The sequence below is a fragment of the Homo sapiens genome, chromosome 14 (genome assembly GCF_000001405.40).
Source record: "Homo sapiens chromosome 14, GRCh38.p14 Primary Assembly".
In the NCBI taxonomy this organism is placed as follows: Eukaryota; Metazoa; Chordata; class Mammalia; order Primates; family Hominidae; genus Homo; species Homo sapiens.
The window spans coordinates 75,261,863-75,275,588 of NC_000014.9; the positions used below are offsets into that span (position 1 = coordinate 75,261,863).

At 44.9% G+C, this 13,726-nt stretch overlaps 1 pseudogene; it reads right to left on the reverse strand.

Moving 5' to 3' along the window:
- Nucleotides 1-8,812: 8,812 nt before the first annotated feature.
- LOC124903434 (uncharacterized) lies at nucleotides 8,813-8,918 on the reverse strand (annotated as a pseudogene).

The following is a 13,726-nucleotide window of genomic DNA, read 5'->3' on the forward strand; positions in this document are numbered from 1 at the left end:
TGTTTCATATATGCTTGCATGCGCACACACATGCATATTCTTTTGCTGCCTTGTGTTTCGGCTGAGCCTCTCTGTTTAGATGACCAGATTCAACATAAGGACCATGATGTCCTTCTATGTTGCTGACTTCCTTAAACCACAAGATGATTAATTTCCCCAACCTATTTCCTCATCTATAAAATGGGGTCTGGACAACTCACTGACCCCACACGTTTGCTTTGACCCAAGAGGATTGCAATGATACAGTGATTATTAGTTGGTGGTGTGGAAATACTAAATGCTGCATAAATGCTTGATTATTATTTGTGGGTATATTTTCCCTCAACACCTCTCCATCTTAGTGCTGAGTGAAGCCTCCACTTGCCAGGTTTCCCTGGCAAAGAAGAGGCCTTGGCCCAGGCCAGGATGTGTAGGAGCTGTGACCTACCTGGCCTTTCAAGGCCCAGGTTCACACTATCCTCCTTCACATCTCAGCCATGATAGAATTCACTCTTCCACTCATGCTGGCTAACATGGTGAAACCCCATTTCTACTAAAAATACAAAAAATTAGCCAGGTGTGGTGGCACATGCCTATAATCCCAGCTACTTGGGAGGCTGAGGCAGGAGAATTGCTTGAACCCCGGAGGTGGAGGTTGCAGTGAGCCAAGATTGCACCATTGCACTCCAGCTTGGGCAACAAGAGCGAAATTCCTTCTAAAAAAAAAAAGGAGATGTTGCTACCTGGCCTCCTTACCTCTCGGGACTGTTAGGAGGGTCATACTAGGTCATGCTTGTGGAAGGGCTTCAAAAACCGTAAGTCAGAGGGTATTTTAAAGTTTAAAAATATTCTGCAAGATGAGGTGGTCTGTAAATGGAGCAGTGTCAAGGTCAAGTGTCAAGAGATGTAATTCATAGAGAGACTGGATAAATGCCCATCTATGTGATTTGATATGCCCTATGCCAAGGAATGCTCCCTCACTGTCCCTAAAATTCCATCATCAGCAATATATTTCTTTGGATTAAGCATTTGCCATTCCCTTTGGGTCCTACTCTTAAAAGACAAATTCTCTTGTGAGCAGTAGGCTCCTGAAATTTAATGTAAATTACATTACCAGACATGTTCCTCCCCGACAGGTGAGATGGCACCAGACAGGTGCACTGGGCTCTTGGGTAGGTCTGAGAAATGAGATGCTGGAATCCTAGAGATTATTCATTTTAGTCAAAGTCAACCTTCATGGTGTACCAGTTGCTGACACAGGACCCTCGGAACCCACCCAGCAGACCCGTAGTTCCACTCACAGATGAGGGGGGAAATGCTTCTCCCCATCCTCACCTAAAACCTCCGAAGACACCACTGCAGTCATCCAGAGACTCCCATATACTATAGGGGCAAGCAAAGTTTTTTTTACAAGTTTGGGAATTGACATGGGTTGCCAACTTTGAATTTTACCGAACAACAATTACTACTTATTATCACTATCATTTCATAAATGAGAAGACATTTTAACACTAAAAAAGTCAAAAGGACATTATCTGGCTGGGTACGGTGGTACACACCTGCAATCCCAGCACTTTGGGAGGCTTAGGCAGGTGGATCATCTGAGGTCAGGAGTTCGAGACCAGCCTGGCCAACATGGAGAAACCCCACCTCTACTAAAAATACAAAAAGTAGCCGGGCGTGGTGGTGCACGCCTGTAATCCCAGCTACTTGGGAGACTGAGGCAGGAGAATCACTTGAAAGTGGGAGGAAGAGGTTGTAGTGAGTCAAGATCGCACCACTGCACTCCAGCCTGCAGCCTGCATGACAGAGCAAGGCTCTGTCTCAAAAAAAAAAAAAAAAAGGACATTATTTAAAACTGAAGGATAGTCCTTTTAAATCAAAGATATGTAGCTGTATGCAAATTCCCTGCTTTGTCTTTATTTTTCCTATTTACCTTGGACACTCCTGTTTCTTCTTCAGTATTTATGGGGTGGTGCTGACAGTGACAAAGAGCAGATAGAGAAATCAAGGAGAGGTAAAAATTTAACTCAAGAATTAATGTTCCTGATAAGATGACCACTTCTCACACGATGCTTCTTTGGGTCACCAGTTTCTTTGTTAAAGGAGAGTAACATAATCTCACCAGAATGGGTTCTGATATGGGGAATATAATACTTTGAATAATTCTCTTGGAATTACTTCCACTCTGGGCAGATCAGTTTGTTTTCAGTGAGTCCATTCCTTGCTGGGACCATGCTGCACCACCTGAACACTTCTGGTTTTACCTGGCGAGGTGGGATTGTTGACTTCCCAAAGCCTGATCTAGCCAGATCAGATGGGGCAGAGTGTTAGGGACTGGCATGGTTCCTCCCAGAGGAGGGAACAAACCTGCCTTCCAGCTGGTGTCCCAGGTAGGTACAGGAGACGCTGGCAAAGCAGGTTTAACCAGCATCTTGGGCAAGATTTGGCGCATACTGTTTTCCTGCCTCCAGTGTCCCCTAGCAAAACTGGAAGCATTCTATATTTTCTGTGGTTGCATATGAACCCAATGCAACCAGCACAACATAGATAAATTTTTCTCCAAAGCCCAATGTCTCTAGAAGCTGAGCCTATATTTTAATTCCAAGCAACATTAGCATAATTAAGGCCCATGAGATTGAGTTTCTCTCTTTTTTTTTGAGATGGAGTCTCATTCTGTTGCTCATGCTGGAGTGCAATGGTGCGATCTTGGCTCACTGCCGACCTCGGCCTCCCAGGTTCAAGCGATTCTCCTGCCTCAGCCTCCCGAGTAGCTGAGACTACAGGCACGTACCATCATGCCCAGCTAATTTTTGTATTTTTAGTAGGGATGGGGTTTCACCATGTTGGTCAGCCTGGTCTCAAACTCCTGACCTCAGGTGATCCACCCGCCTGGGCCTCCCAAAGTGCTGGGATTACAGGCGTGAGCTACTGCACCTGGCCCTGAGTTTCTCTCTTATTAGTCATTCCCTGGTAGGTACTTAGGGAAATAAATTTACTTATGCAGGTCACCAGAGCACTATCAACTACACTGGGGAAATATTTAGCCCAATTATATGGTGTGGATTAGAAAATTATAAGATCATTATTTTAAAAATTATATTGAATTGGCTGGGTGTGGTGGCTCACGCCTGTAATCCCAGTACTTTGGGAGGCTGGGGTGGGAAAATTTGCTTGAGCCAGGAGTTTGAGATCAGCCTGAGCAACATAGTGAGATCCCATCTCTACTAAAAAAAAAAATTATTGAACCTATTCAACCAAAATAGTGGAATAATATACCTACATCATTGAATCGTGGTGAATATTAAATAACATAACAAGGCTGGGTGCGGTGGCTGACACCTGTGATCCCAGCACTTTGGGAGACCGAGGCAGGAGGATTCCTTGAGGTCAGGAGTTTGAGACCAGCCTGGCCGACATAGTAAAACCCTGTCTCTACTAAAAAAAATACAAAAAGTAGGCCGGGCATGGTGGCTCACACCTGTAATCCCAGCACTTTGGGAGGGCGAGGTGGGCAGATCACCTGAGGTTGAGAGTTCGAGACCAGCCTGACCAACATAGAGAAACCTTGTCTCTACTAAAAATACAAAATTAGCCGGGTGTGGTGGTGGGTGCCTGTGATCCCAGCTACTCGGGAGGCTGAGGCAGGAGAATCGCTTAAACCTGGGAGGCAGAGGTTGCTGTGAGCTGAGATCATGCCACTGCACTCCAGCCTGGGTGACAGAGTGAGACTCCATCTCAAAAAAAGTAGCCAGGCATTGTGGCGGGCACCTGTAATCCCAGCTACTCAGGAGGCTGAGGCAGGAGAATCGCTTGAACCGGGAGGTGGAGGTAGCAGTGAGCTGAGATTGCGCCACTGCACTCCAGCCTGGGTGACAGAGTGAGACTCCGTCTCAAAACAAAACAACAACAAAAACCATAACAATATTTGTAAAGCACTTCGCATAATTCCTGAGCAAGCACTCAATAAATATTAGCTATCATTATTTCTCTTTATTCAAGAAGTATTTTTTGAGCAGCTATTATATGCCAGATACTGTGTTAGGGGCTAGAGAGTCATTGATGAGTAAAATAGGCAAGGTGTCTGCCTTCTTGGAGTGGGGAGATAGACATTAAATGAATTCATTTAATTCAACAATTAACAGCTATTAGGATCAGGCTTCTCTAACTCCTTGGGGGTACATCAGTGAATAAAACAAAGATCCCTACTCTTGTGGAACTTAATTTTTAGAAATTAGCCCAAATGCTTTCTAAATAAATGTATTACTAGAAATGGTGGTAAGTGCTAATCATGAAAAGCCTAGGGTGGAATGAGGGCTTCTAAAAGGTTCCTAATTCAGCCTGGCTGCTGGGGAAAGTCCTTTATGTGGATGTGACATTTTAAGTTTGAGATCTAGATAAAAAGTAGGCTGAACTGAGACGAAGAGTGGGAGGTGGAGGCAGAGAACATATGTATAATGCTAGTAGCTCATATTTAATTCCATGTTCCATGCCTTTTCACAAACGTTCTAGAGGACAGGACTGCCAAAGATGAGAGGAGATTCCTGCATCCGAAGTTTGCAATCAGGCCGGGTGCAGTGGCTCATGCCTGTAATCCCAGCACTTTGGGAGGCGGAGGTGGAAGGATTGCTTGAGCCCAGGAGTTCAAGACCAGCCTGGGCAATATAGGGAGATCCTGCCTCTCTCTCTCTCCCCCAACCCTGCCTCTCTTTTAAAGACATTCCCAATCAGATTGAATTTAGTTCTCAGCTCCAGGATGCATGGCAGCAGCTGCCTAGTTTTTGCCTTCTCAGGAATCACTGACAGTTGGCAGTTGCCACCTCAGCTTCCCTTGGTCCCCATTACCTGGAACAATCAGTCCCAACTACGCTAGGAATGACCTCTCTGTAGCTAGGTGTGGTGGTGTGCGCCTGTAATCCCAGCTACTTGGGAGGCTGAGGCACGAAGAATTGCTTGAACCTAAGAGGCAGAGGTTGCAGTGAGCTGAGATCATGCCACTGCATTCCAGCCTGGGTGACAGAGCGAGACTCCGTCTCAAAAAAAAAAAAAAAAAAAAAAGGAATCACCTCTCTGGGAATTGACTTCAGCTTCTTTTACTTGCCTTAGTGAGTGTCACCCTAGGGCCCCCAGAAATATGTCAGCATACATTTGCTGCTGGATTTAAATAATCTAGGGTGGGCTGAATAATCAATCTTTGAGAGTTGAACTAGCTTCTGAGCTACAAACATGCACATAATCCTTTAGCCCACTTTTCCTTTGCTACTGAATTTTCTCTAATTTAAGTTTTAAAGCTCTTCTTAGGTCATTTCCACCAGCAAGCTTTCAAGCCCTGGTTCATATTCTAGCTTAGAAATAGTTCACATAGTTCTGTGTAGACATAATATTTACGGGAACCAGAGATGGGTGGATTCTGATAGTGGCTTGTGGAATAGTCTCCAGTGCAGTCAAAATAACAAAGAATTTGAGAAGCAAATGCTTTGAGAGTCTAGTTTCCCATAAACTTCTCAAATATACAGGCTTAAATCCTGTGTAAGGATCAGCAGAATCCAGGAAAGTAGGGCCCTGTTTGAGAAAGCCTTGGTTTGTTCACTGTTTGCTGTTTTACAGCACAAATTCTGAACTCTGTTTATTGTCAACAGCTCTCTAACAAAGGACACAATGGAATGTGCCTGTTTTCAAATTCCTGTAAAAAAGGGCCCTGGAAGACCTCCAAGCCTGGTGTCGGTGATTTACTTCACTATTTTTCAGTGATTTCACTTAAGACTCTAAGCTTTTGAGAGAGTTCTTACCAATCATCAACATTAGTGTGGAGCTACGTATAAGAAGGATCTAGATGGGCTGTAATTGAGTGAGAATAAAATACAACTATCCATATCCTGTTGGAAGTGTAGGGACAGCTAGGGAGGAAAGTGAGCTGGGAGTAGCTGGGAACTTTTTACATTTAGTAGCACTGATCCAAAGATCTGGAGGGAGGAGGAGATTGCTGTTGGTAAGTCAGGCAGTAGGGTTTGAGGTGCACCTTGCAAAGACGGCTGGTTTCAAAGGTGTGGGGGCATTGGCACTTATGTTTCTCAGTACATAACCTTACATTGGGAAGCATCTCCTCTGCCCTGAATACCCTGCTCCTTGTTCTTCCATGGCTAGTTCCTTGCTATCATTTGCTTCTCATGGAAATTGTCTCCTTCTTCTACCCAGTCCAAAGTAGCAACACACTTCTTCACAACATATTCTTCCATTTTAATTACCTGCCCAAGGCTGGGCATGTTGGCTCACACCTGTAATCCCAGCACTTTGGGAGGCCAAGGTGGGCAGATCACTTGAGGTCAGGAGTTCGAGACTAGCCTGGCCAACATGGTGAAACCCTGTCTCTGCTAAAAATACCAGAATTAGCTGGGTTTGGTGGTGCACACCTGTTGACCCAGCTACTCGGGAGGCTGAGGCACGAGAATCACTTGAACTGGTGAGGCAGAGGTTGTAGTAAGCTAATATCGTGCCACTGCACTCCAGCATGGGCGACAGAGCAAGACTTTGTCTCAAAAAACAAAAAACAAACAAAAAAATTACCTGCCCAGCACTTACTTACTTTTATCTGACATTTTTGTTTTCTTATTAATTCATTACTGGACTATAAGCTTCATGTTGGTAGGAAGCTTGCCTGTTTACTGTGGAGTCTAGTGACTGGTACATAGTAGGTGCTCAATAAAAGTGATGAATGAGTAGCAAGGAATAGGATAATTGACTTTGTACAATTTGAGTTAAGAAGGGATTAACTTTGCAGCGTCCATACAAAGTAACTGTAGGTAATTGGTTTTTTTCTGACCCTTATACAAGGTAATAATATTTTGAGGTATGTGAAAGTCATTTCTTTCCTGGAAAGAATTCTGAAACCAATGGAAAAATAGAAAGCAGGCTAGAGATATCTGATAAGAATACGACTGAATTAATCTCAAACTAGATGTGTGAAATAAATGCCTCAGGGCTGCTCTTATCTAAATGTAAATCTAAAACATCTTAATCTGAAATTCCTCAGCTTTCTGCATTATTCTCTGGTCATTTTACCATATGGGCCAGAAATGGGTAAGAAGTATAGAAATTATGACCTGGGGCTTGGAGCTGTTGTTTGGTGAAACCGTTGATTTCGTGGGCCAATGAGTAGAGTGCTAGTTGAAGAACTTTTTTTTTTTTTCTTCCATTTCCCCAGCCTATTTCATAACCTCTTACTTCCTTCTTTTCCAAATTCTAAGCTCAGACAGACATCAGCTGGATGAAGCCCCAGGTTCAAACAAACTTGCCTTGGATATCAAAGTACTAGTAGCAAAGGAACTCCCAATTCCTCACCTGCTGTGAAGTTTCCCATTCACTGCAAGCAAAGTCCAGGTGAAAGCAAAGATTCTTCACCCGCAGAAACCCTCTGGGCAGGTAACTCATGATGTATTCCCAGCCACCTGATGAATCTGGAGAAAGGAATAGAATGGTTCTGCCAAATGATTTAAATGAAGAATCCTGTGGGCCCAGCCCAGCCCTCTATGCTAACCAATCTGAAGCCGGCAGGTGTGTGGTGTTCTGTTTATAGCTGCCAGATCAGCTCCTGTTGTAGGTTCTATATGCTGGCCTCAGCTGAGCCTGTGGTATGTGAGCACAGTTCTGTGCGATCCAAACAATTGACAAATACTGACCTGGCCCCAGCCACGTGCCCAGTCATTGCTGGGCTGCCCAAGAAACCAACTAAGCACATTCTGGGGCAGGGGTGGGGGGCATTCAAGAAAGAAATCAGAAAGCTGTATTCATTATTCTATTGACTGAAGGCTTAGTATTGTGTCAGGCACTGATCTGGCAACGGGGAAACAGTAATGTCTCTTTCCCTCATGGAACTTACATCCGGGCATTATTTCAGCATACTTATGAGTTTTCCTTATTTATTATTTATTTATTTACTTACTTACTTATTGAGACAGTTTTGCTCTGTCGCCCAGGCTGGAGTACAGTGGCGCGATCTCAGCTCACTGCAACCTCTGCCTCCTGGGTTCAAACGATTCTCCTGCCTCAGCCTCCCAAGTAGCTGGAATTACAGGTGCCCACCATCACACTGGGCTAATTTTTTATGTTTTTAGTAGAGACGGGGGTTTCACCATGTTGGCCAGGCTGGTCTTGAACTCCTGACCTCCAGTGATCTGCCTCCCTCAGCCTCCCAAAGTGCTGGGATTACAGGCGTGAGCCACTGCACCCGGATGAGTTTTACTTTTTTAAATAAAAATGTATTTTACAACGCAGTGTTGCTTTTGTTTTTAATTACTTGAAAGGACACCATAATCATTTCACTATTAGGGCCATAAATGTTTACTGTGGCCCTGTGGCCAGCACTTTTAAACTAAAAATTGGTTAGATTTTTACTTTTATGCACACATATTTTCTAAAAAGTTTCTTGGCCGGGCATGGTGGCTCATGCCTGTAATCCCAGCATTTTGGGAGGCTGAGGTGGGTGGATCACCTGAGGTCAGGAGTTCAAGAACAGCCTGGCCAACATGGCGAAATCTCTTCTCTATAAAAATACAAAAAATTAGCAGGACGTGGTGGTGTGCTCCTGTAATCCCAGCTACTTGGGAGGCTGAGGCAGGAGAATTGCTTGAACCCAGGAGACGGAGGTTTCAGCGAGCCGAGATCGCGCCATTGCACTCCAGCCTAGGTGATAGAGTGAGACTCTGACAAAAAAAAAAAAAAAAAAAAAAAAAAAAAAAAATTCATTTTGAATTAGGCTAAATTTGTGTAAAAGAAAGGATCTGGGGTGTAACCAACCTCAGGTAAAGTTTCTCATTGTGCTAATCATTGTTTTGGGGTGGGGTGGTTGTGGATTTAAAACTAAAGCATCCCGTACGATCTTGTGCGGTAGGTAGTGGAAACATTTACTACACTTGATCTTAGCCAAAAGGCCAAGAAGTGATTATGTGGAAACATTTAGACAGCAGGTGTGATGGGTCTTTGTAGTTCTAAGGATGGGTATACCCCTTGGGTTTATAAGCATCTAAATTATGCCCGATAAGAAAATTGCTGACTAGGGGCTGGGCATAGTGGCTCACGCCTGTAATCCCAGCACTTTGGGAGGCCCAGGCAGGCGGATCACCTGAGGTCAGGAGTTCGAGACCAGCCTGACCAACATGGAAAAACCCTGTCTCTACTAAAAATACAAAATTAGGCCAGGCGCGGTGGCTCACGCCTGTAATCCAGCACTTTGGGAGGCTGAGGCGTGTGGATCACCTGAGGTTAGGAGTTTGAGACCAGCTTGACCAACATGGTGAAACTCCGTCTCTACTAAAAATACAAAAAATTAGCCAGGCGTGGTGGTGCCTGTCTGTAATCCCAGCTACTCAGGAGGCTGAGACAGGATAATTGCTTGAACCCAGGAGTCGGAGGTTGCAGTGAGCCAAGCTGGTGCCACTGCACTCCAGCCTCGGCAACGGAGCAAGACTCTGTCTCAAAAAAAAAAAAAAAAAAAAATTAGCTGGGCATAGTGGCACATGCCTATAATCCCAGCTACTCGGGAGGCTGAGGCAAGAGAATCGCTTGAACCTGGGAGGCAGAGGTTGCAGACTGCATTCCAGCCTGGGCGACAGAGCGAGACTCTGTCTCAAAAAAAAAAAAAAAAAAAGAAATTGCTGACTAGGATTTTGGTTTCCTAACCTGAGAAGGATAGAGGTAATAAACCACCCATCAAAGCTCTCTGTCCAGAAAGGGAATCCATGCTGCCTTCTCCGTCACAAGGACAATAACTGATGAACCTCTGTTTAACATTTATTCATAGGCCAGGCACGGTGGCTCACGCCCAGAATCCCAATACTTTGGGAGGCCAAAGTGGGAGGATTGCTTGAGCCCAGGAGTTCGAGACCAGCCTGGACAATATAGTGAGACCCCATCTCTACAAATAATAAAAAAAAGTAGCCGGGCTTGGTGGCCCATGCCTGTGGTCCCAGCTACTTGGGAGGCTGAGGCAAGATGATCGCCTGAGCCCAGGAGGTCGAGGCTGCAGTGAGCGACCGCATCCTAGCCTGGGTGACAGAGTGAGACCCTGTCTCAAAAAAATAAATAAACAAAAATAAAAATATACGTTTATTCTACAAGGATTTGAGTGCCTTGGTGTCAGGAAGCATGGTACTGAGGATAGATAACTGCTAAATAAGACAGATAAGGTCCCTGCTCTTGTGGAGCTTACGGACTAGTTGACGATGGCAATGAAACAGTACATAAATGGACAGGGTAATGTAGTGATAAGTGCTAGATAGAAAAGAAAACCAGGTAACATGACAGAAAGTGACTGAAGGGCAAAGGAGTTTGCAACAATGGATGGGGAAGACAGGAGGGGCTTCCTGGAGAAGGTGACATTTGAGCAGATGTTGGTCAGGAGGAAGAGTCAACTTGTCAAGGTCTGTGAGGAAGAGGGAAGAGTGGGTACAGAGGCCCAGAGGCAGAAGCAGCTTGGCATATTTGAGGGAGAGAAAGGCCAATGTAGCTGGAGTGGAGTGCAGGAAAGTGGTTCAAGGTAAGGTTGGAAGGCAAGGCAGAGGCTGAAGCCTGTGGACTGGGAATCCTCATAAGAAGTGTAGATTTTTATCTAAGTGTCATTCTGTAAACTGACCTCTAAACAGGTTTGGGGGGATAACAGTTCTGTTTGGTGTTCTGATTTAATTCAGAGCCCCCCGAGGTGGGAGAGTAGACTCTGCCAGTGTATAATCTGCCCTTGTCCTAACTGATTACCTCACAGTCTGGGATGGGCCAGAGTTTAAAGATGGAATTCTTCAGAAGAGTCATTTTGGGAATTTCACCATCAATCTCTAACTCAGTACTCCAGAGTAATAAAACATCCGTGGAGAAATCAGACCTCACCTGGGAGTTACAATAGAAAGTTTTCTTTTGGAACACAATCATGTACTAAACTAAGACAAAAAGTTGTCACATCTGAGGATGAAATTACGAGTTCTAGATCAGAGGGCAGCCTAAATGAATTCATACATACTAGTCAGTATTTTCCTGGTTTGGGAAAGGGGAATTTCTTTGGCATTACAATGGCCAATGTCTCTTTTAAAGATCTGTCCTTTGTGGCCGGGTGGTGTGGCTCATGCCTGTAATCCCAGCACTTTGGGAGGCCAAGTCCGGCAGATCACCTGAGGTCAGGAGTTCGAGACCAGTCTGGCCAACACGGTGAAACCCCATCTCTACTAAAAATACAAAAATTAGCCAGGCGTGGTGGTGGGCGCCTGTAATCCCAGCTACTTGGGAGGCTGAGGCACAAGAATCGCTTGAACTGGGGAGGTGGAGGTTGCAGTGAGCCGAGATCATGCTACTGCAATCCAGCCTGGGCGACAGAGTGAGACTCAGTCTCAAAAAATAAATAAATAAATAAAATCTGTCCTTTGCAACTTTTCAGTATAGGGAGAGAGAGAGAAAAAAAAGATTTGTCTTGTTGAGTAAGAGTAAGGTCATGGATGACATGGTGTGACCTCTGCTGAAGATGTCTTAACACCTCGAATCGCGTCATGTGGCAGCTTCTTCTAGCCACCCCTGGCCCTGCACATGGTGATTATGAGATTTTTCTCATTGGATGGGAGCCCTGGAATTGAGGTTTCTTGGGGTGTGTTTTTGTCCTGTAGGTTTAGTGACGTCGACGGGGTTCCTTTGGAATTTCAGCAGCTAAGTCCGCCGGAGCTGCAGAAGGTCAGCTCAGGACATCGGAGGAGCTGACAGCCTGGAGAAGCTGTGCTTGTCTGCTGGTAGGGAGCACTTGTTTCTAAAGCAAGATTCTGCAACACTGACAGAACCAGTTTCCCATACTGCTGGTGGCTGCAAAAGATGTTTCAGGCTTGGGCTGCAGTGTGCCTGTCTTTGGCACTGCCACTGTTCCCCAGTTTCCTCAGCTCCAGATGGAGCATGTCTCAGGGACCACACAGAGCTTTGTTTAAATGCTCACATTAGCAGAAGGACGGGGATCCCATTGAATCATCCTCTCCTGTCAAAAAGCCAAGAGTTGTTCAGAAGGAAAAAACAGTTTTTCTCAAAGAGGCTAAATCTCTAGTACTAATTAGTTGCAGTAGTGGCATGTGTGTGTGTGTGGGGGGGGGGTGGCATGGTAATCTTGTGCCTCCAGTGTTCTAAATAGGGGCAATCTTTTTGCTCACGGTCTGAGCCATCGAATGAGTAACCTCGACCTCCTAAGACCCTTCACTGGGCTCACGTGTGTGTGAGTCCCACAGGAATTGTGGAATGCCTCTTTCTCTTGTTGGGTCCAGACATTTAGAATGAATAAATTAAAGGGTAGTGGTAACATGGTCATTGTCATTGCAGACAATGTGGTATTTATATATGGGCACTAGCTGTCTTTCTCATGGGGCTCAGGAACAAGGGTAAGTTTGATCTTTCATCATGAACCACTGGGGTGTTCTTTATACACAGAGGCTGTACCAGCTGAAAATAGCCCAAACATCTTGTAATTTTGTCTTTCCCAATTTTTGCCTATTCATATCCCAGAATAAAAGAGCCTGTTCAGCCTTTCCAAAGATTTAAAGAACATTATCTATTTGCTTTCTAAGTACCCAAAAAGCACAACCGTCTACATTCACCTTGGCTGGATGAGGACATGCATTCATTCATCCATTCAAGAGATATTTATTGCCAGACCTGGTGGCTCACGCCTGTAATCTCGGCACTTTGGGAGGCAGAGGTGGGAGGATCACTTGAGGCCAGGAGCTTAAGGCTAGCCTGGGCAACATAGCGAGACCCCATCTCTACAAAAAATAAAAAATTAGCTGGGCATGGTGGTATGTGCCTGTGGTCCTAGCTACTTGGGAGGCTGAGGTAGGGGCATTGAGCCTAGGAGTTCAAGGCTGCAGTGAGCTATAATCACACCACTGCACTCCAGCCTGGGTAACAGAGTGAGACCCTGTCTCAAAAAAAAGAAAGAAAAAGAAAAAGAAAAGGGGTATTTATTGAACACCTACTATGTTTCAGGCACTGTGCTAGATCCTAAGTGAATATCAGCACATGAACAAGACAAAGGCGAAAAGTTACCAAACAAGTCTAAGTTGATTTCGGTATATGCATCTTCCTGACTTCTGGTCCCGTGCTTTGACCACAACCCTTCACCACTAGACCAGACTTCCCCAAATAAACAACTACTTCTGCATGCTGGGGATGGGCTGTGTGCGGCAGCATTTACGTAGGCGGTACAGACAGCAGCCTTTCACTTAATGTTGCAATAACACCAGGCTAAACAATGTGCACTGACTTCAAAAGTGTGGGGTCAGGTCTCCTTCAAGTGCCACAGGGAGAGTGCAAAGTAGGAAAAGTCTATCGGATGAGGAAACACTGTAGAGGGAAAGTGAATTTTTTTTCAATTTGGGTTAAAATTCAGATGTGGAATTCTACCCTCCTTTTCACTTTTGGATCCCCAGATAGGAGGAACTCAGCACATAGATAATCATGAACTACACACATTTTGGTTTTATATGCTCAGACTTGTCCAGAGCATGAAATCCCTGCCCTGTTGGAAGGCAGCGCCGTGCTCACGGAGGCACACAAGCACCTGTCTCAAAGTCACCCTGACCTGCAGATCTGCAAATGGCAAAAATAATTTCACATGTTTGTTCTGATTTGTCTTCATTTTTAGGCTACCTTGTGTGAGCTCCACTTTTTAGAATGTGATTTTGCAGTCCTGAAATGGATACCATGAGCAGATTGAGATGTGAGAATATGTTAGAATGAT